The sequence below is a fragment of the Homo sapiens genome, chromosome 1 (assembly GCF_000001405.40).
Source record: "Homo sapiens chromosome 1, GRCh38.p14 Primary Assembly".
NCBI classification, from domain to species: Eukaryota; Metazoa; Chordata; class Mammalia; order Primates; family Hominidae; genus Homo; species Homo sapiens.
The window spans coordinates 149,781,717-149,806,492 of NC_000001.11; the positions used below are offsets into that span (position 1 = coordinate 149,781,717).

The window sequence follows — 24,776 nt, forward strand, 5'->3', positions numbered from 1 at the left end:
ATTTCGCTGGCCAATGAAAGTCTCATGATGAGCCACAGTCAAGAGTCAGAGACATACCCTCATGAGGCTGTGGAGAGAGTGTAGATTCAGGGAGCGGTGAGAAACTGGGGCCAGTACACCAACTTACAGCATGATTTGTCATCATTTTTCATTCTCTGCTAGTAAGATTGCCAAAGTCTCTCTGCACTCATTGAATTCATTTAGCTCTCTTTAGCTCTCTTTTTTTAGCTCTCATTTAGTTTCCATTTAGCTCTCTTTCTCTCTTACCACAATACCTAAAAATCTTTTTATGGGGTTACAACTCTGTCTCAGGAGCCACCTCAGTTTGGTGGCACAGAGCTCCCCACTTGTACTCTGAAACTCTTTTCTTGAAGATATTGCTATCCATGTGCATGAGTTATTTTTCTTCTCCATAGCATCCACATTAAACAATTAATTACCTTGGATTTAGCCAAAATAAACACTCCAAATTCATGATGTCTTTCAGGAAGAGAGTTTGTTTTCTTTTTTAACCAAAATGGGAGATTGATCCTGTCTGTGTCCCCTAGAGGAGCAGAGGCTGGTTTGTATTAGGGCAGCTCTTGTAGATGAGTAACTTTTCCCATGGCCTCATAGAGGCTGATATAGAAACTTCTGGATTCAAATGATTGTTTGGAGGCATTAGCCAGGCATTGAACCAATTATAAAGAGTGAGGTTTTGCCATATTCTAACCGTAAGAAACAGAAACGGTAGAGGGTAAAAATAGAATAGAATGTCAATACAACTTTAGCCTTTTCCCTGGATTCTGAGAGTTCATAACCTGAAAATCAGAGATTCAAACTGGGAGAGATGGGCTAACAGGTATGAGCATGGGAAAAGCATGTTTCAAGAATTTGAGATGTATTTCCCAGAAAAGCAACATGATGAAAATGGTCAGAAAAGGCAATTTCCTTCCTCTTTTCTAATTTGGCTCTGGAGCCACCAGCAGAACCTCTTCAATATCTTGCATGTTACAGATTTCACTGCTCCCACCAGCTTGGAGACAACATGTGGTTCTTGACAACTCTGCTCCTTTGGGGTAAGTTGGACTCAGAGGGGACAGTTAGAAGGGTACAGGCTGTGGCTGTTGTGAGTCAAGAGTTTTGTCTTCCTGTGGTAACTCTGGGTAGAACTCATGAGTATGAAGCAACTTGTATCTGTGCTTCCATGGTTTATTAGAGCTTATTTTATGAAAAGGATGGGAAGGGCAACCCTGAGGTAGCATTAAGCCTGGACGCACCGCAGTGAAGTTTCCTTGATAACCACCTGTAGCTTGTTCAGTTCTGTTAGTACTGGATTTTGAGAAAGAGAAATAGAAACTCAAGAGATCTGAGTTGATCCCTCAGAGTCTACATTAATTCTGTCTCCCCAATTCTCTCTTCCTCATTATTTTCCTTGGACCAACTGATATCTTTATTCTCTGATCTCTTGCAGTTCCAGTTGATGGGCAAGTGGGTGAGTGATCTCTAACTCAGCTTCTCCTTCTATGCCACTTTCCTACTTCCAAAGGATGGGTCCTATTAACCTGCAGAAGAGCATATAGGGAAAGCAGAGAAAGAAGAAAGATTTATAAATTATGTAAAATCTCCCATATTCAGAGCATGATTTTCATAAAAACTATGATTTGTAAGCTTTCTTTCTAAAGTTTTCTGAATGAGCTCTTTCCTCTGAGCGAAATGCCTGAATGTATATATAACAGCAGGAAAGGGCCAGAATTGCACAAACACTAAAGTAGTCTGCTGACACTGAAGTAGTCTGCTGGGTTTCCCAACATCCCCTAAACCAGTCCCCTTTACAAGAAAGCAGAGTGGGTTTTTTCTCCTCAGAAAGAGCCAGGCAAATACTGAAGGCTTCAAAGAGAGGAGTTTGAACCTCCGTTTCCAATGTACAAGCTGCTGAAGCCCTGCAATGTACTCTCAGAGACAGTATAGCTCAGAGGATAAGGAAAACAGCTCCGCTTGGCTTGCCCAAGTCTAAAACCCTGCTTCATTGCTCCCAACAGAAAAACCTACATCAGTAATTTAATCCTCAGGAGCCCCAGATTCCCAACACCCAGATGAGGATTTAATAACAATGAACAGAGGTCTCTGCAGCAGGAGGACACTCTTAAAGGCTGGCTTTTGTAGGTTTCCACTTGCCTATTTTTCAAATAAATCTAAATATGTATTTTTCCCTTGTGCTATCCACAAAAGCCTCACCAGTTGCTCAGAGCCCTCCCCTTTACTCCACTTGATCTTTTTCTTTTTCTTCTTGTAATCTCCAAGTAGACACCACAAAGGCAGTGATCACTTTGCAGCCTCCATGGGTCAGCGTGTTCCAAGAGGAAACCGTAACCTTGCACTGTGAGGTGCTCCATCTGCCTGGGAGCAGCTCTACACAGTGGTTTCTCAATGGCACAGCCACTCAGACCTCGACCCCCAGCTACAGAATCACCTCTGCCAGTGTCAATGACAGTGGTGAATACAGGTGCCAGAGAGGTCTCTCAGGGCGAAGTGACCCCATACAGCTGGAAATCCACAGAGGTAATTATGACTTGGACCAGGAGGGCCGGAAACCACAAGGTCTTCCTCTGCGTTCTCTCCTTTCTGGATGCCAGATGTGTGTGTGTCGATTTATCTGGGTGCAGGTCTCAGCACTATGTACCTACCAGGTGAAACTAAATCAGTATACTCAAAACATCACAGCAGGGTCCTTAAACTGTGTACCAACAGTACCTCAGCTAGGCCAGCTCTAAGTAGGATGTCTAGAGTAAGACTTAGGCCCTAAGATTGTATCATTATTCCAAATGTATGCCTGTACATAGTAAATAATAATAATTCAAACAAATGAGCAATAATGAACAATGAAATATCTTCCTCCCACCCAAAACCTAGATCTGCAGTCACCTTCCACAGAAACAAAACTGCTAATATATATATACATATTATGCATATATATGTATATATTAGCATTATTATATATAAACTATATATATATATATATATACACACATATATATAGTTTTAAAGCTGTGGGTGGTAGAACACTTTCTAAGTATTGTCCTATATCTTACTTTTATCACTTAAAATACCTTAAAGTTCTGTTTATATTAATAGAAATCCACTTTAAAATGTCTGCTGCACAGCTGTACCAGAATTAATTTAACCATTCTGCCTATTAGCAAATTTATAAGATGTTTCCACTCTTTTGATTTTACAAGCATTGCTGCAATAATTATCTTTATACATACATTCCGGGGGCACATTTCATAGGGTATCTGTAAGATAATATTCTGGACATGGAATTATTGTCATATTTTAATAAATGGAAGCAGAAAAGCCCACCACCCACTTAAACCTGTAAGGAGTTTCTATTCATCAAGAGATGGAGACTGCAATATTCTTCAGGGAAAAATGCTTCATTCAATATGCAAGACAAAATAACCAAATGTATTATTTAGTTATTCAGAAGTGATGAGTTTAAACTTCGTTAAAAATGATAATGCAAAAGTCAATCCACACTGGAGGCAAAATTGCCTTTATGCAGACATGGTTGCTGTTAGAGGAAATGTGTTTTAGCCAAGGAAATGTTGAGAATGTCTGAGGGAAGGCTTGATGTTCCTCATGTGTCCCTTAGGTCTCTGTAAATAAGTTCTTAGGATGGAGAGGTTAGGGAAGCTGACAGAGCTGTTTCGTTTTTTTTTTTTTTTTTTTTTTTTTTGAGACAGAGTCTCACTCCGTTGCCCAGGCTGGAATGCAGTGGTGTGATCTTGGCTCACTGCAACCTCTGACAGAGCTGTTTCAACAAGATACTTTGGGTAATTCAAGCAGAAGTGTTTCATGGTTCAAGTGACAACAAAAGGACTAGGGCTGGGAAGAGTCCATTTTCTTTACCTCTACACAGACTCTAGGACACTCAGCATCAGTGACTTACTGAGAATCATATCTTTTTTATATTACATTTTAATGTGAATTTTCATTGAAATATAACTTATGTACAACAAGCCATAAATGTATGCCACAGTAAATTTTTTCAAAGTAAACAGCATCCAGATCTATTTTAGACATTTCCAGCACCTCAGAAACTCCTTCTTGCCCATTTCTAGTCCACCCCTGACACTGACTTCCAGCACCATAGGTTTTTTGCCTATTTTTGAACTTCATATAAAGGGCTACGGTATGGGACAGGATGTACTCTTTTGTGTCTGGTTTATTTTTCTCAACATTATGATTGTGAACTGTATACATGTTGTAAATTGAAGTTCATTTGTTCTTATTACTGTATATTTCATATTTTCCCATTCTGCTGAGGGGCTCGGGTTGCTTCTGGTTTTGACCACTTACAAATAGTAATGCTGTGGATATTTTTGTTTACATGTTTCAAATATTTTCTACCATTACTAATGTTTGACAGTATCTGATGGAGGTATGTTACAATTTCCCACTCTTTTGGATATACAAATGCAAATTAAGCATTTCCCTAATGACTATGATATTGACCATTTTTCACGTTTATTACCTATTTGGGTATCCTTTTTTGTAAGGTCTTTTTGATAATTTTTCTATTGTCTGTCTTTTTCTTACTGACTTACAGGAGTTATTTATATATTCTGGATATAAGTCCTTTTTCAAGTGTCTTAAATATCTTCTCCCACTCTGTGGCTTTTCTTTTCACTATAATATTAAAGTTTTGTTTGTTTTCAATGAACAAGACTTGTTAATTTTACTACAGTACAATACACCAACATTTTTGGTTGGTGCCGTCTATGCCCTATTTTAAAATGTTTTGCCACAGTCAGCCATGGGGAATTCAATTGCAGCTCACTGACTCTTAGTCATTTCAATTTAATCAGTATATGCTAAGACCAAGAAAATGCAGCTGGTTGGTGGACCCGAGCCCTAATCATATGGCTGACACCAAAGTCATGAAGGTAGGGGAATGATTGTTGAGTAGGAAATTAGTAATGTCTGCTAAAAGCTGCATCTCGTGAGTTTTGATATATAATACTACCATTACCATTTAAGTTTAAAAACTCATAAATTTCCATTATACATTATTTTATTCATGAATTACTTAGATGTTTTTTGGAGGGTAGTTTTTTGCTATTGATTTCTAATATTATAGCACTTTGGTTAGAATTTGTGTTAAACATGGTATCAGTTCATTAGTATTTGTTGAAAATTGCTTTGTGGCCTAGTTCACACTTAATTTTTCTAATATTGCATGTGTGTTTGAAAAGCATATGAATTTTCTTTCTAAAGTAGAGCATCCACAAAATCAAGCCTATTAATTGTGTCATTCAAATATTTTCTACCATTACTAGTGTTTGACAGTTTCTGATGGAGATGTGACAGCACTTCCCACTCTTTTGGATATATAAAGCAAAGATGGCAGTGTTTGGGCAGTGCAGTCTTTCAGCATCTGCTGGCTGTGGGTGGGAATAAGGGAGGGAAGAGAATTAATTCTATTTGGAAGCATTATATCAGTATCCATGACTGTAAAATTCATGCTATGTATAGCATAGAAACACCTGCCTTCCATTCTTAGATAAGTTCTGGAGGGGGAAAAGGCACTATTGTCTCTTTTCCGCCTTAGTCTCCTAAGAACCCCATTTTTACTTAGCCAAACCAACTGCCTCTGGAGAAAAGAAAAGTAGTTGAAGCATTTTTGGTTATGTGTAGAGGTGTATGTCGAAAGGAAAAGCCCATTGACTTGGAGCTTGTTTTGCTAGTGATATCATTGATCTTACATATGTGAGTATTCATATCAATGTAGTAGGATGTTTATATCTGGATGTTTGCCCTTCTGTGTGTTTGTCTTAGGATGCGTGGTCCTATTAACAAATTTGTCAAGAGTTGGAGTGTATTTGTTTTCTATTGCTGTGTAACAAATTTAGCAACAACATACATTTAAGATCTTCCAGTTTCCATGGGTCAGGACTCCCATCACAGCTTAGCTGAGTGCTCTGCTGAGAGTCTTCCAAGGCTGCAGTTAGGGTGTTGACTTTGCTGTGTTTCTTTTTGCAGCTCTTCCAGGCTCACAAGGTCACTGGCAGAATTCAGTTCTTTGTGGTTGTAGGACTGAGGTTCCTGCTTTCTTGCTGCCCATCAGTGGGGGGCCACTCTCAGCTCCTAGAGGCCCTTGCCTTGTGGCACTCTTGTAGGCCCTCTCCTGGCATGGCAGCTTACCTCTTCAAGTTCAGGAGGAGACTTTCCATCCAGACTGCTAAGATAGAGTCTTACATAATGTAGCAATCCCAAGAGTGACATTTCATCACCCTTGTCATATTCTGTTGGCTAGAAGCAAGTCATAGGTTCCACCCACACTCAAGGGGATTATGCAAGGGAGTGAGTCATTGGGATCATTTTAGAATTCTGCCTACCATGCTGTATGAACTGTTTTTGTTTCAACCAACTTCTGAGATCTGGAAAGGGAAGATAAGAAAGGGCTGTGTACGCAGTTGCCAGTAAAGATTGCTTTTCTTTCCACCAAAGCTAAAGATATTTGAGGAACTGGATATAGGCCTGAGATTTGGCAGAGCTCTGAGGCTGGATGTTGCAAGGAGAAAAAATAGGAAGCCCACAGGGCCAAGCTTGGGCCTCCTTGTACCTCCTCCACTGTATACATACATTTTGGGTTCATATTTTTCAGGCTGGCTACTACTGCAGGTCTCCAGCAGAGTCTTCACGGAAGGAGAACCTCTGGCCTTGAGGTGTCATGCGTGGAAGGATAAGCTGGTGTACAATGTGCTTTACTATCGAAATGGCAAAGCCTTTAAGTTTTTCCACTGGAATTCTAACCTCACCATTCTGAAAACCAACATAAGTCACAATGGCACCTACCATTGCTCAGGCATGGGAAAGCATCGCTACACATCAGCAGGAATATCTGTCACTGTGAAAGGTATTGTATTGGAATAGTCATAGAACTGATAGTCCCTCCCCCTGAGGGACCATCATAAATATTCTAAACTCCTCACTTTAATTTACAAGTGAAGAAACCGGGCTCCAGAGAGGTAAACTGCATTACTAAAGGCCACACCATGACCAGTAGCTGGAACCAGAACTGAGGTCTCTGGGTCCTAGTCCAATACTCTTTCCAGTGTACCGCAACCCCCATCAACAATCACAGGAGCTAATGTCAATGTCAGGGCATAATGGTGATCCATTTCATCCATCATTATTTTAGTTGTAAAGAATACAGACTCACTCTAGGTAGATAGGAGAGTTAGAAAATAATACCATGGAATCTCATGGAAGCCCCATAGAAAGAGAAACCTGGAAAATATGAAGAACGGGCTATACTGTCCATCTACCTCTCAGGGACAAAGCAGCCTCTGTGGTGCCACTTCTTCCTGAGCATCTGCAGGCTAAGCAGTTTGCATATGGCCTTGTTCTGACCCTTTCACGGCCTTTCCTCTTAATACAATCACTAGCAACCTTTCTCTGTCTGAGAAAAAAAAAAGTTCACTCCTGTGGGAAAGAAATTATTGTCCCAGATTATCTTTTAAAGTCAGGAACAAAAATAATGAGTCACTGAAATGTGGCGGGCACCTGTAGTCCCAGCTACTCGGGAGGCTGAGGCAGGAGAATAGCATGAACCCGGGAAGCGGAGCTTGCAGTGAGCTGAGATAGCGCCACTGCACTCCAGCCTGGGCAACAGAGCGAGACTACGTCTCAAATAATAATAATAATAATAATAATAATGATGATAATAAAGTCACTGAAATGGCAAGTGTGTGAGTCAGGGTTCACTCCTAGTTGACCACTGCCAAAAGGGCATGGTTACTGACCAGATGACACGGTCATTCAGGGAAGGATGGACCTTGTAGAGCAGGGGTTCCCAACCCTTACTGGTCCGTGGCCTGTTAGGAACTGGGCTGCACAGCAGGAGGTGAGCTTCTTCATGAGCCAGCATTACGGCCTGAGCTCCTCCTCCTGTCCAATCAGTGGCAACATTAGATTCTCACAGAAACATGAACCCTATTGTGAATTGTGCGTGCCTGATGATCTGAGGTGGAACAGTTACCTTCCAAAACTGTCCCCACTTCACCCCCCGGCTGTGGAAAAGTTGCCTTCCACAAAATCCATCCCTAGTGCCAAAAAGGTTGGGGACCACTGGTATAGAGGTATCCTCAGTAGGACTCAGCAAGCTGGCAACCCTAATTATGTCTATTAGGACACCCCAAGAATGGCTCTCTGCTGGAAGTAAAAAGGGTTAATGCCTTATGGATGCATTTTCTAGGGCCAGGTTTCCCAAGGGGGTAAAGGGCATGTCTTTTGTGAAAAGGACCTGGATGCTAAACAGGCAACCTTGTCCCCCATCAACTTTCTCCTTAGAGCTATTTCCAGCTCCAGTGCTGAATGCATCTGTGACATCCCCACTCCTGGAGGGGAATCTGGTCACCCTGAGCTGTGAAACAAAGTTGCTCTTGCAGAGGCCTGGTTTGCAGCTTTACTTCTCCTTCTACATGGGCAGCAAGACCCTGCGAGGCAGGAACACATCCTCTGAATACCAAATACTAACTGCTAGAAGAGAAGACTCTGGGTTATACTGGTGCGAGGCTGCCACAGAGGATGGAAATGTCCTTAAGCGCAGCCCTGAGTTGGAGCTTCAAGTGCTTGGTGAGTGAGAATGACGGGAAGCCACTGGCACAGAAGAAGGGACTCCCTTATCTCCCATGGGACTGAGGTTTGTTCAAGGGTTTTTGGCCCAGACAGGAGGGGAAAGTCTCTTCAGGAAAAGCCCACAAGCAGGCCTTTCCATCCTTGATTCACAACATCACTCTTCTCCTCGCAAACTGTTAAATTTCCTTTCCTTTCTTTTTCTTTTTCCTTTGCCTTTCCTTCCTCCATTTCTTTCCTTCATTTTCTCCTCTGTCCTTCTTTTTTTCTCCTTCATTTTATTTTCCCCTCCCTCCCACTCTTCCCTCCACTCCATGACCCCCCCTTCTCTCTCTCTCTCTCCCTGCTTCCCTGCCTCCCTCCTCCTCACCAACAATCTCACCAACAATTTATCAAGTTCTTCCTATCTGTTGTCATACGTCTGGGGATATAAAGACATTTGAGTATAGTTCTTGCTTCAAGGAGCTCACAAGGTGGATTTATCAGACAGTGATTTTGTAAACTGCAAATCACCACCTCCCCAAGTATCTCTATTTAACTGAGGCAGAGGGATTGTGAGCTCTAGAACAAAGTCTCCTTGGGGGGGAAAAAAGTTCATCTTCAACCCAAATTCATTTCAAGTATTAAATGGCACAGAGATATCAGTTGTCTCTGGAACTAGGGAGTAAGTCCACTGACAGGGCCCAGCAATTAAGCTCTTCCAAGGAGCCTGTCCCTGTCTATACACCATATAGCCAGTTAGAGCTACCGCCAGTTCCTTCCTGCTCCCTGAAATGACCAGTGCCTCCCTGAGGACAGGCACATCAGGTCTCAGCCAACCTTCCCTTCCAAACATAACTCAGCTAGACCCCTCTGGTCTCTAAATAGTATCTCTTCTCTTTGTCTTTTTCTGTTTCAGGCCTCCAGTTACCAACTCCTGTCTGGTTTCATGTCCTTTTCTATCTGGCAGTGGGAATAATGTTTTTAGTGAACACTGTTCTCTGGGTGACAATACGTAAAGAACTGAAAAGAAAGAAAAAGTGGGATTTAGAAATCTCTTTGGATTCTGGTCATGAGAAGAAGGTAATTTCCAGCCTTCAAGAAGACAGACATTTAGAAGAAGAGCTGAAATGTCAGGAACAAAAAGAAGAACAGCTGCAGGAAGGGGTGCACCGGAAGGAGCCCCAGGGGGCCACGTAGCAGCGGCTCAGTGGGTGGCCATCGATCTGGACCGTCCCCTGCCCACTTGCTCCCCGTGAGCACTGCGTACAAACATCCAAAAGTTCAACAACACCAGAACTGTGTGTCTCATGGTATGTAACTCTTAAAGCAAATAAATGAACTGACTTCAACTGGGATACATTTGGAAATGTGGTCATCAAAGATGACTTGAAATGAGGCCTACTCTAAAGAATTCTTGAAAAACTTACAAGTCAAGCCTAGCCTGATAATCCTATTACATAGTTTGAAAAATAGTATTTTATTTCTCAGAACAAGGTAAAAAGGTGAGTGGGTGCATATGTACAGAAGATTAAGACAGAGAAACAGACAGAAAGAGACACACACACAGCCAGGAGTGGGTAGATTTCAGGGAGACAAGAGGGAATAGTATAGACAATAAGGAAGGAAATAGTACTTACAAATGACTCCTAAGGGACTGTGAGACTGAGAGGGCTCACGCCTCTGTGTTCAGGATACTTAGTTCATGGCTTTTCTCTTTGACTTTACTAAAAGAGAATGTCTCCATACGCGTTCTAGGCATACAAGGGGGTAACTCATGATGAGAAATGGATGTGTTATTCTTGCCCTCTCTTTTGAGGCTCTCTCATAACCCCTCTATTTCTAGAGACAACAAAAATGCTGCCAGTCCTAGGCCCCTGCCCTGTAGGAAGGCAGAATGTAACTGTTCTGTTTGTTTAACGATTAAGTCCAAATCTCCAAGTGCGGCACTGCAAAGAGACGCTTCAAGTGGGGAGAAGCGGCGATACCATAGAGTCCAGATCTTGCCTCCAGAGATTTGCTTTACCTTCCTGATTTTCTGGTTACTAATTAGCTTCAGGATACGCTGCTCTCATACTTGGGCTGTAGTTTGGAGACAAAATATTTTCCTGCCACTGTGTAACATAGCTGAGGTAAAAACTGAACTATGTAAATGACTCTACTAAAAGTTTAGGGAAAAAAAACAGGAGGAGTATGACACACACAGCAACTTGATTCTAGATTATTTGGTTTGATCCGTAAATGATGGGATGGGGCGTCGCGCTCCGAGCGTGTCCCGCGGCGGGCCCCTGGCGCCACACTGTGGCCGCATGTGCATATTGCAGCCTCCGCCTGTATCTGGGGGCCGCAGCCGCCAGCGCCCGGGGACCCAGCTGCGGCGAAAGCTGTTGGGCGCGCGCTTCTCCGCAGCTCCGCGCCCCCGCCAAAACCCAGTGAGAAATTATTTGCATTCCTGGAGGCTGCAGGAGCGAGAAATGAGCTGTAGGAGTCGGTGGGCAGCAACGGCGGCAGGCGGATGGAAGAGAGCAAGGGGTCGCCGTTCGTGTCCCATTCGCCCGAGTCAAGGGGCGGCCCCCCAAAATCCCAACGTCATTGTTTCCTCGGGGCCGGCAGGTGTGAAAACCCGGCGGCAGAATGGAAGTTCGGTAGTCTGCGAGGGCCCGCGGCCTCCCCAGGCGCGTAGCTGAGTCCCTCCAACCCCGCCCCGGGCCCGCCAGCTCCCGGGCCCCGGCGCGGCGCCACCTGGCGGCCGTCTGTGGAGGTTGCAGCTGCCGCCAAGCCCCGGGGATGCTGCCGGCCTCAGGTGCGCCCGGCCGAGCCTCCGCGGAGAGGAGGATTGGTAGATCACAGGAAACGGGAGGACGGCGCTGGGCTCCCAGCAGGCGCCCCATTTTCTTGGCTTGTCGCAAGAGCAGCCGGAGGCGGCGGCGGCAGGGAGGGAGCGGGTGGGGAGTGGGAGAGGCCGCCCGCCTCCCCGTCCAGCTCGGAGGACCTCCCAGCTGGTTCCCTCACCGTCAAAAGCAGGAAGGGAGCTGGCTCGGCGGGATCAGCAAGCCAGCGGGCAAGAAGGCTCCAGGCTCCGCAGGGGCCACCCCACATGGACTCGGGAACCGCCGAGCTTCACCCACAAGGGCCCACGGCCCATCCTATCACGGATGAAAAGATTACAGGACTGACAATGAGGCCCTGGAGGGATCTGATGCAGCTGGCGGGGAGAAAGGTGGGTCGGACTTAGAGGGGTGGTGGGGTGGAGGAATCTTTCTTCTCCCTGGGACCTACCGAGGCTTCACCTGTGAGGGTCTTGGGCCCATCCTTCAATCCGAGAGCTTCCAAGCCAAAGCACAGCTCCCCAGAGTGGACAAGTGGAGCAGAACCGGCATTAGGTTGGGAGGGTGGGTCGTTAGGGGTCGTTCTTCACCTTCCAGGCTGGGTATGGAGACCTCTAAATTCATCCTAGGGCCACAAGAGCTTCTGTAAGAGTTCAGGCCCGTTTCAGAACACTCAGAGGTTCCTAGCCTGAGAAGTAATCCCCAAAGCAGACCAACCGGTTTGGGGTAAAACAGGAAGAGTTGGGTCCATTCTGGATCTTTCCTAGCTAAATGCCTTCAGGATTTAGGAATATTTTCCTAGGAGGGCCAAGGATTAGCTAGACCTGCCCAGCGATTCCAGCCCTGAGAACCAGACAGAATGGAGGTATAGCTGACAGCTGGCTGGGAGGGGGCTGACGGTCCTCACTGCCACCAGGCTTAGTTGGAGACAGATTCCTCGGGCTGTAGAGAGACAACAGTAGAAGCAAAGAGACCAGTTAGGAGTCTAGGTGAGAGGCAGCGGCAGCCTGGACTAACATGGTAACAGTGGAGCTATTGAGAGTGGTCACATTTGGAAGATGTTTTGTAGGAAGTGTCAACAAAGTTTCTTATTGATTAGATGTAGGGAATGTGAGAAAGAGAAGGGGGGGGAACACGTAGATTTTGGGTCAAAGCAATAAATATTCCATTGACAGAATTGAGACAGCAAGTTGGTGGAGGAGGGGAACGGGGTAGCAAGAAGCGAATGTTTCATATTGGACATTTTAAGATTCCTATTTGACATTTAAGTGTAACTCTTGAAAAAGCAATGGATATATGAAGAATCCTAGACTAGAGATACAAATTTGCCAATCATCATATAGATGTGGTATTTAGAGTCAGGGGACTAGAAAGAACAATGTAAGGGGGAAGTACAGATAGAAAAAGGTCTAAGGCTGAGCCATGAAATATGCCACATTTTAGAGGTTGCGTAGAAGAGGTGGTAGCAAAGGATATTGATAAGGAGTACCAGTGAGGTAGGAGGGAAAACAGAGAATAAAACGTCTCAAGAAAGAGAGATCAACTATGTCAAATTCTCCTGAGAAAACTATTGGATTTGGAGTGGGACTGCACTAAATCTGTCGATCTTTTTGGGGCAGGGGCGGGAGGGAGAGGGTTAGGGAGGATTGATATCATTCCAACACTGACTTTCCAATCCATAAACAAGGTATAACTCTCATTTATTTATGTCACTGTTAATGTCTCACAACAATATTATAATATTCTCTCTAGATGTGTTAGATGTATTCTTAGGTCCTTCATTTTTGTGTTATTGTAAATGGTATTGTCAGAATCTTCAGAAGTAATTATTGGCCAGGTGCGGTGGTTCATGTCTGTAATCCTAGCACTTTGGGAGGCCAAGGTAGGCAGACACTTGAGCCAGGTGTTGGAGACCAGCCTGGGCAACATGGCAAACCTCATCTTTATAAAAAATACAAAAATTAGCCAGTGGCACACGCCTGTAGCCCCAGCTACTCAGGAGGCTGAAGTAGGAGGATCAATTGAGCCCAGGAGGCAGAGGCTGCAGTAAGCCAAGATCGCACCACTGCACTTCAGCCTGGGTGGCAGAGGGAAACCCTGTCTCAAAAATAAATAAATAAATAAATAAATAAATAAATAAATAAATAAATAAATGATTATTACCAGTCTCACAGCTGAGGCAGAAATTTAAAACAAATAAATAATAAGTACTGCATTTATTCACTCCAAGAAAAGTAAAAGCTAAGGCCCAGAATGTGGCAAGGCAAGGGTTAAAAAGAAGAGAACAAGTTTTCCTCTGCCTAGCAAGCTTACTTCAAGGACAGTTATAAGATAACGCTGTCCAAATAGCCAAGGTCAAAGGAATAGGCTCCAGACACCCCTCCCTTCCAGAGCAAGGTTGGAGGAAGAAAAAGAGAAAGATTCTTTTACTCTTACTCTTTCCCCAGGCCTCTTAAGCATTATTTACAAATGTCTGTATTTAGCCAGTTTTTGTTTTTCTTTCGATGCAACTACAAGGTCACCAGCTATGCAAGGTCACAAGTTATGTTATGCTATAGATTATGTGACCTGTCACTGTATGATTAACTGCTTTTGTTTTGTGTCTGTAAGGCCGCTTATAAAAACCCCACTCTGTCTTTGTTCAGTGCTCAGCTTTTTAGATGCAAACCTGCTGAGCCATGCGTACCTAAAATAAACAACAATCCTCCTGTTTTTCCATATTGGCCTCTCCTTTCCTCAGTTTACCACAACATAGCCATAATAGTATAAAAACTGAAAGACCCTAAGACACATATACATTAAGCTTGGCAACGGAAAGCAGGATGTCACACACACACAAAGCTAGTAATGTGAAAATCTGGTCTTGCATAAGGTCTTTTAGGTACAGACTTCTTTGTTAATGCACATTGGCAGGAAAATGGGAACAAATAAAATTGCTTGCTGTCCTTCTCTCTTTATTCTCCACTTCTTGTTTTTTCTAAATGTGGGGTCAAAACTTCCATGAGGGTAAGAAGTTCAGTTTTCTGCCTTTCCCCTTCATCTCCCTATCACACATGTATACTACTCAACACTTAGAGAAGATTAAAAAAAGAATAAATTGTGGAGAGGGAGCATATGTGAAAGTAAAAGATTCCCAGACATAATATGGGAGTTAATGGAGAAAGAAAATCTCTAAGGAAGACTAGAAATAATTGGGTTAGGGATTCTCGAGAAGTAAATTAAATTCCCCAAATGTGGTATTCTCTGAGAAGATAATTTTGAAGAAGCAATGGCGTGATATCCAGTGAAACAGCAGTCCTCTGGAGCCTGGCTGTGACTTCAAGGCCCAGTTCTTCTGGAAGGGCAGAAAAATACTTCGAAGAGGAGAAATGAGCATTTATATAGGTTTATAAGTACCATCTTTATTTTAGAAAATAATCATTTTCTACCTTGAATTCTAGTTTATTGTGACCAAAGATTGTAAAATTTCAGGATATGGCTGAATTAAAATCTTGGTCCTGCACTTAAGTAGCTCCTTGAATTGCAATTTCTTATCCCAATTATTTTATCCTTTCATTCCACTGTGAAATCTATATCATGGCACTTAATAGTCAACTTTATTATTTTAACAAATGCTTATTTACCTTTCATGGGTTATTTCATTTAGCCTTCATAATATCTGTTGTCATTGCCTCACACTCAGTCGGTGGCTTTTAATACTATTCTATTATTTTGATCAATTTGTATAATATATTCTCTCCTCAGTGTTTGGTAAAGCTGTCTGGGCTTGCTTTTGTTTGTTTTTTGAGACAGAGTTTCGTTGTGTCACCCAGGCTGGAGTGCAGTGGCACTATCTCAGCTAACTGCAACCTCCATCTCCCAGGTTCAAGTGATTCTCCTGCCTCAGCCTCCCAAGTAGCTGGAATTATAGGCACACGCCACCACACCCGGCTAATTTTTGTATTTTTAGTAGAGACGAGGTTTCACCATCTTGGCTAGGCTGGTCTCAAACTCTTGACTTCAAATAATTCACCCACCTCGCCCTCCCAAAGTGCTGGGATTACAGGCATGAGCTGCCGCACCTGGCCTTGGTGCTATTTTTAAGGATATGTATATCTGATTTTTTTTCTGTTTCTCTTATTCTTTAATTCTGTTAATTCTTTATTCAGGTATTTTACTTTTCTTAGCTCAACTTTGGTAATTTGTATGGAAAAGTCAACATTTTGTCTACATTCGCAAATATATATCAAAAATACACATCATTTTAATATCTTCTATATCTAGTATTACTTATGTGCTTTTTCAATAGTAAGTTTACGGAAGGATTAACTCTTAATTTTCTTTTCAGGGAACACGGTGTTTGGTTTTATAAATTCCATTTTGGTGGAATAGGAAGGTATGATCTGTTTCATTGACTATGCTTTCATCTTACTTTATGCCTTCTACTTTCCACAGGTTTTTGTTGTGTTCCTTTGTTAGCGTTTGAGTTAAAAACTTAATTCTCTCTCTGTTGCTCAGGCTGGAGTGCAGTGGCATGATCTCAACTCACTGTAACCCTCCGCCTCCCAGGCTCAACGATCCTCCTGCCTCGGCCTCCCTAGCAGTTCGAACTATAGGCGTGCACCACGACATCCAGCTAATTTTTGTATCTGTTGGAGACACAGGGTCCTGCCATGTTGTCCAGGCTGGTCTCCAATTCCAGAGGCAATAATTGGGAGGCCAAGGCGATCTGCCTACCAATTATTTTCTCTTAAATGCATTTTAAAGCTACAAATTTTCTCCTGACTGCTTCATGTAGGTTTTAATATTATTTGCCATGAAATATATTTCACAGTGGAATGACAGATAATTGGGATAAGAAATGGCAATTCAAGGAGTTATTTAAATATAGGGCTAAGATTTGAATTCTAGCTTACTGGGACCAAAGCTTGTGAAGTCTCAGGGTATGGCTGAATTATAGTGCTCTTGTTATTTCTAAAGAGTGTATAATTTTTATTCTGATATCCCCTTTAACCCATGTGCTTTTTCCTAAGAGTACAACTTAAGGAGGGCATGTTTGATTATTTTATTGTTTTATAATCAGTTAACTATGCCCTGGTCCTATATGGTTTCAGCTTTTCAGCACTTGTTGAGACTTAATTTGCCATCTCACTTATGGCCAATTTTTGTCAATATTCTATGTGAATTTGAAAATAATGTAACTTTCCTATTTTGAATATAAGATGGTATAGGCATAATTATAGTTATGATTAATCTTATTAACCGTGTTCTTCAAATTCTCCATATCCTCAGTAAGTTTCAGTCAACTAGATCTGTCAATTCCTAAGAAAGGTATATTAAACTTATCACTGTGATTGTTGACTTATATGCACATATGTGTATGTATCCTTGTTAAATGCAAACAATTCATGGTCATTCCTTAATGGAGCACTACCTTTATGAATATGATATACCCTTCTAGTGCCATATATAAATGTATTTTTAAACCGACTTTAAAAAAAAAAAAAAAAGAGGAACTTGCTCTGTCACCAGGCCAGAGTGCAAAGGTGCAATCATAGCTCACTGCAGCCTTGACCTCCTAGGCTCAAGCAATCCTCCTGCTTCAGCCTCCTAAGTAGCTGGGACTACAGGTGCATGTAACCATGCCTGGCTAATATTTTTACTTTTTGTAGAGACAGGGGTCTTGCTTTGTTGCCCAGGCTGATCTTGAACTCTTGGCTTCAAGTGATCCTCCTGCCTCAGCTTCCCAAAGTGCCAGGATTACATGTGTGACCCACCATGTAAGCCCACATTTTTCTAACTTCTACAGTAATAATATCTATATCCTATTTATTTATAACATAAATCTTACTTAGCTTGTTTTACTTCTCTTCACTCTTGCTTTCCCTACCACCCTTCTACATCACCTGGAATTTGAATTCCAGGTTTTCTTTTTAATTTTCTAGAATCTAAATTCACTTTGTTTAGCAATATCTTTTACCAAATACATGACCACCTTTGCTTCCATTATCTCACATCTTCCCTTATGATCTTTTTAAAATTATTGCTGGAATAGAATTCTGAAAAGTCACCCACACTTAAATGATAGTTTAATTGAATTCAAAATTATTTTCCCTAGATTTTAAAAAATAATGCTTCGTGTCTTCTTATATCCAGTGGAGCCCAAATGAGTTGGATGTAAATTTGACTTCCATTTCTTCATAAGCATTTTCCCTGAATGTGTTTAGAAATTTCTCTTTGTTCCCAAATTTTGTCACTGTGAATCTAGGTGAGGGTCCTTCTCATCATGTATGCTCAGAATTTAATAGGACCTTGCAATCTAAGGATGTATGTATGCATTTAGATCCTGTGAAATATCCTCCTTTTATTCCTTTATTTTCTCATGACTATGGTTGCATACTACACAATAGTAGGTTGTACACTACACATTGGCAAATCTTACTATTCAAATGACAGCCCCTGAAATTGTGCAGTGCACAATCAGCAAATCTTATTTGGTAGATTTGTATTTTATTTCTTACATGTTTTCAATTCTCCCCTCCTCTCTAACTCCTCATCCTGTTACATGAGTTTGGAACATCTGGATCTATTTTTCATATCATTTAACTTTTCTTTCATCTCTGCATGCATCTTTTTATATGGCTTTGTGGAGGAATTTCTGGCTTATCTTGATCATCATGAGGACGGAGAAACTCAAACTATGTGTTTCCTGTGCTTTCACACTACAACAATCAACACAGAAGACTGACGGCGGAGGGGGGTTCTCCATACAGCAAGCAAGCAATCAGTTCTGCAGTGGACACCAGCTGAGTGTACTCCAATTCAATTTTTACACTATTTATCAGGAGATCCCACAGGTTGAGGACTGAGTCTACCAGACTGCCCCCACTTCAAATGCCAGTTCCAAGTCTGGGCCTCCAGAACTTCTGACCAACCATTTCCAAGCTGGGGTTCCCATGGCTTCCTCCTTTGCATTGTATTAATTTGCTAGAGCAGTTCATGAAACTCAGAGAAACACTTGGGTTTACTGGTTTATAACAAAAAATACAGATGAAAAGATGCATAAGGTAAAGTATGGGGGAAGGAGCATGGAGCTTCCATGCACCTCCACTGGGTGCGCCGCCCTTCAGGAACCTCTACATGTTCAGCTATCCAGAAGCTCTCCAAGCCCTGTCCTTTTGGGTCTTTGTATGGAGGCTCCATTGCATAGGAATCACTGATTAAACCATTGGCCATTGGTGATCGGCTTAACCTTCAGCCCCTCTCCCCTCCCCGGAAGTTGGAGGTGGGCTGAAAGTCCCAACTCTCTAATCCTCCCCTTGTTCTTTCTGGTCACCAGCCCCCATCCTGAAGCTACCTAGGGGCTGCCAGACATCAGTCAACTCATTAATAAACAAAACGACATCACACTTTGGTGTTTCTAAGGATTTTAGGAGTTGTATGTCAGGAAATGGGGTTGAAGACCAAATATATATTTCATAATAGCACAATCTTTCAGCTTATTTATTTTCTCTTGGCTTTATCTATCCTGTTCTGGATTTATCCCTTGTTGAATTTTTATGTCAATAATCAAATTTTAAATTTCCAAGATGTGGGAGCGCCCAGTTACTTGGCACATTTTCCTGCCTCCTTGAACCAAATGACCGCACTCACTGCTGGGGTCAAAGATGTCAGTCACCAGCCAGACATGGTGGTTCACACCTGTAAACCCAGAACTTTGGGAGGCCAAGGTCGGTGGATCCCTTGAGCCCAGGAGTTTGAGACCAGCCTGGGCAAAATGGTGAAACCCCATCTCTATAAAAAATACAAAAATTAGCTGGTTGTGGTGGTACATGCCTGTGGTCCCAACTACTAGGGAGGCTGAGGTGGGAGGAGAGCTTGAGCCCAGGAGGTTGGGGCTGCAGTGAGTTGAGATCGTGCCACTGCACTCCAGCATGGGTAATAGAGTGAGACCCGGTCTCTAGAAAATAAATAAAAAGACTTCAGTCACCAAGGTAAGGAGATGGGTGGATATTCCTACTGTGGTACCTGAACTGTCATCCTGTCAGTTGCCCCAAGACCAACTTTTGTCTCCTGGTTCCAAAACATGTGGATCATTTTTTGGTCCACTCCTGTCTTCTGCAGAAGTCCTCCTTGGCACTCTTCACTGTTACCCCATCTGCCATCTTTGTCAATTTTTTATCATTTCTAGGAATTTGGGGTGGAATATGAGAAGAAAGCAACATATCTTCAGGACACAATCTTGAATCAGTAGCTATTTTTCACCTGTGCATTAGAGATGGGAAACTTGCAGAGCACTTAACAGGACTTCCCTACGATCACCAACTAGTATTTATTGAATTGTTTATTAGTAGGAAACATTAAGCAATTATCCTTCATAAAAACATTATGAAGTAAGTAAGCATTACTATAGTCCCAGTTTTAAGATGAGAAAACACAGATTAAAAACATCCTAAAGAGCAGAGCCAAGTTACACTCCAGGTGGTCCGTCTCAGAAGCCTGAACTCTTTACTAATACACTATACGATGGCATATCCGGGTGATTTTGGGAACACATTATACTTCTACCCTGCCAGGAGGGCCAAATGTATTTACTTTGTCATCTCTGTGCTGTAAGGGGCCACATTTCTACCCATCAACTCAATCTACATTACTCAAGCATGCTTGTAATTCATAGGTTATTTCCTCATGCCAGGAAGAACAGTCACAGTTCTGTTTCATTACGCTTCTATCTTTGAGACTCAAATTCCCCCCTCCCCACTATAAATTATTTGCACATACTAGTCTAGAAAAATTTAATATGCCACTTTCCCCCACAAACACATCTCCACAATCATAAACACCATGAAATAAACTTCTCTTAGACAAATGAAAAAGTTTCTTACCTTTTTCTCCAGGCTAAGGATCAAAATTCAAGTTTTACTTGGTTAACTCTCCTGCTAATCTGAAAACTGTCTTCTACTCTATAGATGCTTGCTGTTTCAGGGGGGCAGGCGGGAGTTATTTAAGAATAATTTCCATTACCTAATACCTTGATACTAATGTGAAAAAAATTATGAAAATCAGAGGTCAAACACTTAAAAAGATCCATGAAAAATCTCCTACAAAGACACTTAAATAAGTAAAATCATCAAATTTTCATAATGTGACAGGGAGAAGATTGAAGAAACCAAAAAAAGCAAGTATGTTCCTTTGCTGGAACTAATCCTATGGCTAATATATATACAAGTTAATCAGCATACCTTTCTCCTGCTCATTATTCTACATATAATATGGGTCTTAAGTAAGTAAACATTCCAAACTAGATGAAATACAGTTCCAGAGAGAAATTATAAGTAGTTTAAGACTTAACCCTTTGTATTAGAGTTCTCCAGAGGGACAAAACTAATAGGGGAGACATATATCTATAGATATAGATAGATGATAATAGATTAGATACAGATATATTAAAAGGAGTTTATGAAGGAGAATTGGCTCACATGATTACAAGGCAAAGTCCTACAGTGGGCCGTCTGCAAGCTGAGGAAGAAAGAAGCCAGTAGTGGTTCAGTCTGAGTCCAAAAGCCTCAAGAGTAGGGAAGCCCACAGTGCAGCCTTCAGTCTGTGGCCTAAGGCCCAAAAGCCCCAGGCAAGCCACTGGTGTTAAGTCCAAGAGTCCAAAGGCCAAAGAACCTGGAGTCTGATGTCCAAAGGCAGGAGGAATGGATGGAGGCATCCAGCACAGGAGAGGGATGAAAGCCAGAACTCTGCAAGCCAGCTTAGCCCACCTTCTCTCTCCTGCTTTGTTGTAGCTACCCTGGCAGCCGACTGGATGGTGCCAACCCACATTGAGGGTGAGTCTTCCTCTCCTAGTCCACTGACTCAAATGTTAATCTCCTCTGGTAACACCCTCACAGACACACCCAGAAACAATACTTAGCTATCTAGGCATCCTTTAATCCTATCAAGTTGACACCTAATATTAACCATCACACCCTAGGATTTAGAATTTTCTTAAGAACACTGAATGACCCTTGCCCAGGATCGTATCTGTGCTGTGTCTGAAGTCTTAGACTCCCTCCTGGCCTAAAGAATTTTCCTTCAATGCAATGAAAAATGATAATCCCACAAACTAGAAACCAAGACTTGTGCAAAATCAAAACATTGCAAAGGTGGGTGTGGGGAAATCAAGCTATTATCTTTAGGTATATTCTATTCCTAGGTGTTTAAAACACTAATATTAAAAAGTGATATGGAGCTTCACCTACCCTCTGGTAATTTGCAGTTATTGTCCTTTGATCATGTAAAGCAACTGAGATCATTTGCTCCTGACCTCACGTCACTAATCTATATCCTTCATTTTTTGCTCCAAGTGTTCCTTCTTCTGAGTGCCTAGTGCTGCTCCAGTACCTAGATATCTCTCTCTCCCCCTCTCTTTCTGTCTCAATATCCAATCAATCCCAAGCTGTATTAGCTCTTTACCAACTTTGGGAAAGTGGACCAGTATCCAGGCTTGGATAAACCAAGGAAAAATACTAAGGAACTGCTTAAAGCTCTAGTGGTTCTTCTACTTTGCTGTTTCTGGCTTTGGCCATCTAAAGCAAAGTTCCTTGGATTGGTTGACAGTGAGATAGTCTCTAGATTCTTGTGTCTCTTTTTAGTAGGACCACCTAAGATGTATCATCCATTGTATAATGAGTTCTTGACCAAAGAAAAGAAATCTTAAGGTCTTCGGACTCTGTCATCTTTCTTGTTTGCCACTCTTTGGACTGTAATTTGAAGAGAAAAAACCTTGTTTTCTTGTGAAAATTTTGGATGCTGAGTAGTTGACAACAACAGTAACTTCAGCTAGAAAATGCTGGAAACAATTTAATAAGCAGAAATGATTAAATCCAAAATCATCAACATGACTCCACCAACCCCATTTTTAAATTTCTATTTAAACATTTCCCAAATTATTTGCACATTCTTCTTTTGGCTGTAAGTCTTGTTTTTCTCTATGCTAGCTAATAGTTTTCTAGATAATTTCTATTCCCTTGACTTGTTCTTATGTTAAATCCTCAAAATTAAGAGCTTTCAACTCAAAAATCAGAAATAGGAAAGAAGTGTTTAATGAAATGATTTCACTTTTTTCTGAAAGTATTGACATGAAGTATTAAAAGCATCATCTGATAGAAAAAGAAGGTACTTGCCAAATGTTATATCGGCCTTTATAGAGCACTAGTAACAGACACTATAAAGTCTCATTTCCTAATTTATTATTTTCCTAATGGGCCACATAGCAGACACTGAAGGTTCTACATAACAAAGGTCCTACAAGTAAATTGTGAAAATCCCTTATTGGATGGTGTTTTTAGAATACAGAAGGTCTTATTTCCTTAATGCAAGATGCTTAGGGAAGTCACTCTCAAGTCACTAGAAATCTATTAAAGCACCACTTGCTGGAAAATGGAATGTGCTCTGGAAGTACAATGGTGCTCTTGCTAGCGCCTTCCTAACCATAACAATAATAAGAACAACACTGATCAAATATTTACCATGTTCCAGCCACTGTACTAAGTGCTTTGGGTACATTACCTCATTTAATCTTCATATCAAGCCTAGAAGGTAGTTTCCATTATGTTTTCCACTTTACAGGGGAATAACTTGAGGATCAATTTGCTGTAAGGAAGTTTATTTATCACAACAAGTAAAGAAAGTTTTCCAAGGTCATACAGTCCTTACGTGGGGAAGCTATACTCAAAGCTGATGTTCATCGCCACTACAGGCTAGTGCCTTCTCAGCAAGAACTACTCTTACAGTGCTAAGAGGAGAAATGGGCAAGGTGGTAAGAGCCAGAATATCTGTTGTTGATATTACAGATACAGCTCTGAACTTAAGACCCTAAAAATGATCTCCAACCTCAGTTGCCTCTGAGAGCCTTCAGCATGATATGTGATCATGTGAGAGCCACGTTATGTGTATTCTTTTTACCACCTCTTCTGTATCCATCTGGAGATAGTTCTCTTTTCTGTTTTTTCTAGAGGAAAAAAACAACGACAAAAAAACAGGGAGATCTTAGCAGAACCAAAGCAGATTAGATATTAGCCTTGAAAATGGTGACAGCAATCAGTGATATTGAACCTGAAATAATTTAAATAATTATCGGGGACTTACCAGAGCTAAGTTCGTGGACCACTGGGATTTCTCTTATTTGGGTCTTATAGTGTTCCATAAAGTGATGGGACTATAATTGTCCATCTTCAAGTATCCTTCTATGACTCATGTATAATCCCTTGACTTTTAGGAGATTCCTGGCAGTTAATGTCAATACTGCCCTTCATAATGCTTCTGAGTTAGCTTAGGTAAGGTCCTTAAATACCCAATGACTTATACTCTGAGGCTTCTAAACTGGTATGTGGACCTCGGTGGTTGCAACTTCACCCAAATCCTCATTCTGTGTTGTGCTGTCCCTAATTTAGAGGGCAAAAGATTTCAAACTCAATCATTTCTTGTTAAATTCAACTCTTGGAGCTCCACCTGTCATAAACACAATCCCATTTCCCATGTACTCAGTTACTTCTGTTTCTTGAATCCATCATTCATCCCATAGATATTGAGTGCCTAATGTATTCCAGATATAGTTCTACATAATAGGGATAGAGCGGTGTATGAAACAAAGCACCTACCTTCATAGGACTTATTCTGAGGAGGTAGGAGGGGAGACAAATGATATAATAACTTAGACTATATCTGAGTAATACAACAAATAAGTCTTTAAAAACAGTGGCTTGAATAAGATACAAGTTTATTTATCTTTCATGTAACAGTCCAGGGCTAACAGAGCAGTTCTGCCATCCTCATCACAGGGCTTCTGCCTCTGGGTCCAAAGTAGTTGCCCCAATTCCTGCCATCACATCTGCACCCCAGCCAGTGGAGAGGGTAAGAGGGCAAGGGCAACACATACATATTCTTTTTTAGGGCACAAACTAGAAATAATACATGCAACTTCCATTCACATCTCATTGGCCCCAAACTTTGGACAAACCCAGATGCAAGAGAAGCTGGTAAATTAGCCTTTAATTGAGAAGCCAAGCGCCCAGAAAGCAGGGAGTTAGAGTATACAAGGAAAGATCATTTTTATGGATATCAGTCTCATTCAGAAATAAACAAATAAATACATTAGTATTCAGATGGTATATGGAGAATAATTAAGAAAGTTATGAGAGGCCGGGCGCACTGGCTCACACCTATAATCCCAGCACTTTGGGAGGCCGAGGTGGGTGGATCACAAGGTCAGGAGATCGAGACCATCCTAACACAGTGAAACCCCGTCTCTACTAAAAATACAAAAAATTAGCTGGGTATGGTGGCACTTGCCTGTAGTCCCAGCTACTCGGGAGGCTGAAG

General features: G+C 41.8%; 3 protein-coding genes across 16 annotated transcripts in view, besides 3 other annotated features; 1 reads left to right on the top strand and 2 right to left on the bottom strand.

Annotated features, from left to right (window-relative positions):
- The window catches only part of H2BC18 (H2B clustered histone 18), a 29,682-nt gene continuing 5,878 nt past the window's right edge, over positions 973-24,776 (bottom strand). The window contains exon 2 of the mRNA NM_001161334.2: positions 973-1,544. Within this exon, the coding sequence (NP_001154806.1) occupies positions 1,517-1,544 (28 nt within the window). The 3' untranslated portion in view covers positions 973-1,516. The remainder of the gene's footprint in view (positions 1,545-24,776) is intronic.
- On the top strand, positions 978-18,893 carry FCGR1A (Fc gamma receptor Ia). Of its 12 annotated transcripts, NR_166123.1 has the most exons (8): positions 978-1,058; positions 1,454-1,474; positions 2,287-2,541; positions 6,650-6,901; positions 8,338-8,622; positions 9,521-9,914; positions 15,757-15,804; positions 18,152-18,893. NR_166123.1 is itself a non-coding variant. In NM_001378804.1 (6 exons), the coding sequence occupies exons 1-6, from the start codon at positions 1,028-1,030 to the stop codon at positions 9,799-9,801; spliced, it is 1,128 nt and encodes a 375-aa protein (NP_001365733.1). In that variant the 5' UTR covers positions 978-1,027; the 3' UTR covers positions 9,802-9,959. The 12 variants fall into 12 exon arrangements, 9 of the variants coding, with proteins under 9 accessions (NP_001365733.1, NP_000557.1, NP_001365735.1 ...); NR_166122.1 differs by lacking the exon at positions 18,152-18,893 and having other exon boundaries at positions 15,757-16,769; NR_166121.1 differs by lacking the exons at positions 15,757-15,804; positions 18,152-18,893 and having other exon boundaries at positions 8,436-8,622; positions 9,521-9,959.
- On the bottom strand, positions 1,174-11,504 carry LOC124904411 (uncharacterized). Of its 3 annotated transcripts, XM_047438182.1 has the most exons (3): positions 10,242-11,504; positions 5,906-6,422; positions 1,174-1,544 (listed from the first exon to the last, which is right to left on the bottom strand). In XM_047438182.1, the coding sequence occupies exon 1, from the start codon at positions 11,490-11,492 to the stop codon at positions 10,818-10,820; it is 675 nt and encodes a 224-aa protein (XP_047294138.1). In that variant the 5' UTR covers positions 11,493-11,504; the 3' UTR covers positions 1,174-1,544; positions 5,906-6,422; positions 10,242-10,817. The 3 variants fall into 3 exon arrangements, with proteins under 3 accessions (XP_047294138.1, XP_047294139.1, XP_047294136.1); XM_047438183.1 differs by lacking the exon at positions 5,906-6,422; XM_047438180.1 differs by lacking the exon at positions 1,174-1,544 and having other exon boundaries at positions 3,943-6,422.
- Positions 11,228-11,467: a silencer, noted in NCBI's record as "silent region_1289". NCBI's record gives its function as "represses an Ori minimal core promoter by ATAC-STARR-seq in GM12878 lymphoblastoid cells {active_cell/tissue: GM12878}" and the evidence as "EXISTENCE:reporter gene assay evidence [ECO:0000049][PMID:35858748]".
- Positions 11,228-12,161: a biological region, named in NCBI's record as "OCT4-NANOG-H3K27ac-H3K4me1 hESC enhancer GRCh37_chr1:149764669-149765433".
- Positions 11,397-12,161: an enhancer, noted in NCBI's record as "OCT4-NANOG-H3K27ac-H3K4me1 hESC enhancer chr1:149764669-149765433 (GRCh37/hg19 assembly coordinates)". NCBI's record gives its function as "activates a minimal SCP1, AML or CMV promoter by ChIP-STARR-seq in naive H9 embryonic stem cells {active_cell/tissue: H9 hESC(naive)}" and the evidence as "EXISTENCE:reporter gene assay evidence [ECO:0000049][PMID:30033119]".

Bases quoted from the DNA above. Each gene is read 5' to 3' on its own strand.
- LOC124904411 (XM_047438183.1), bottom strand. From the start codon at position 11,492: ATGGGGCGCCTGCTGGGAGCCCAGCGCCGTCCTCCCGTTTCCTGTGAT.
- FCGR1A (NM_001378804.1), top strand. From the start codon at position 1,028: ATGTGGTTCTTGACAACTCTGCTCCTTTGGG. The intron at 2,542-6,649 runs GTAATTATGACT...CATATTTTTCAG, and splicing joins ACAGCTGGAAATCCACAGAG to GCTGGCTACTACTGCAGGTC. The intron at 6,902-8,337 runs GTATTGTATTGG...CTTTCTCCTTAG, and splicing joins AATATCTGTCACTGTGAAAG to AGCTATTTCCAGCTCCAGTG.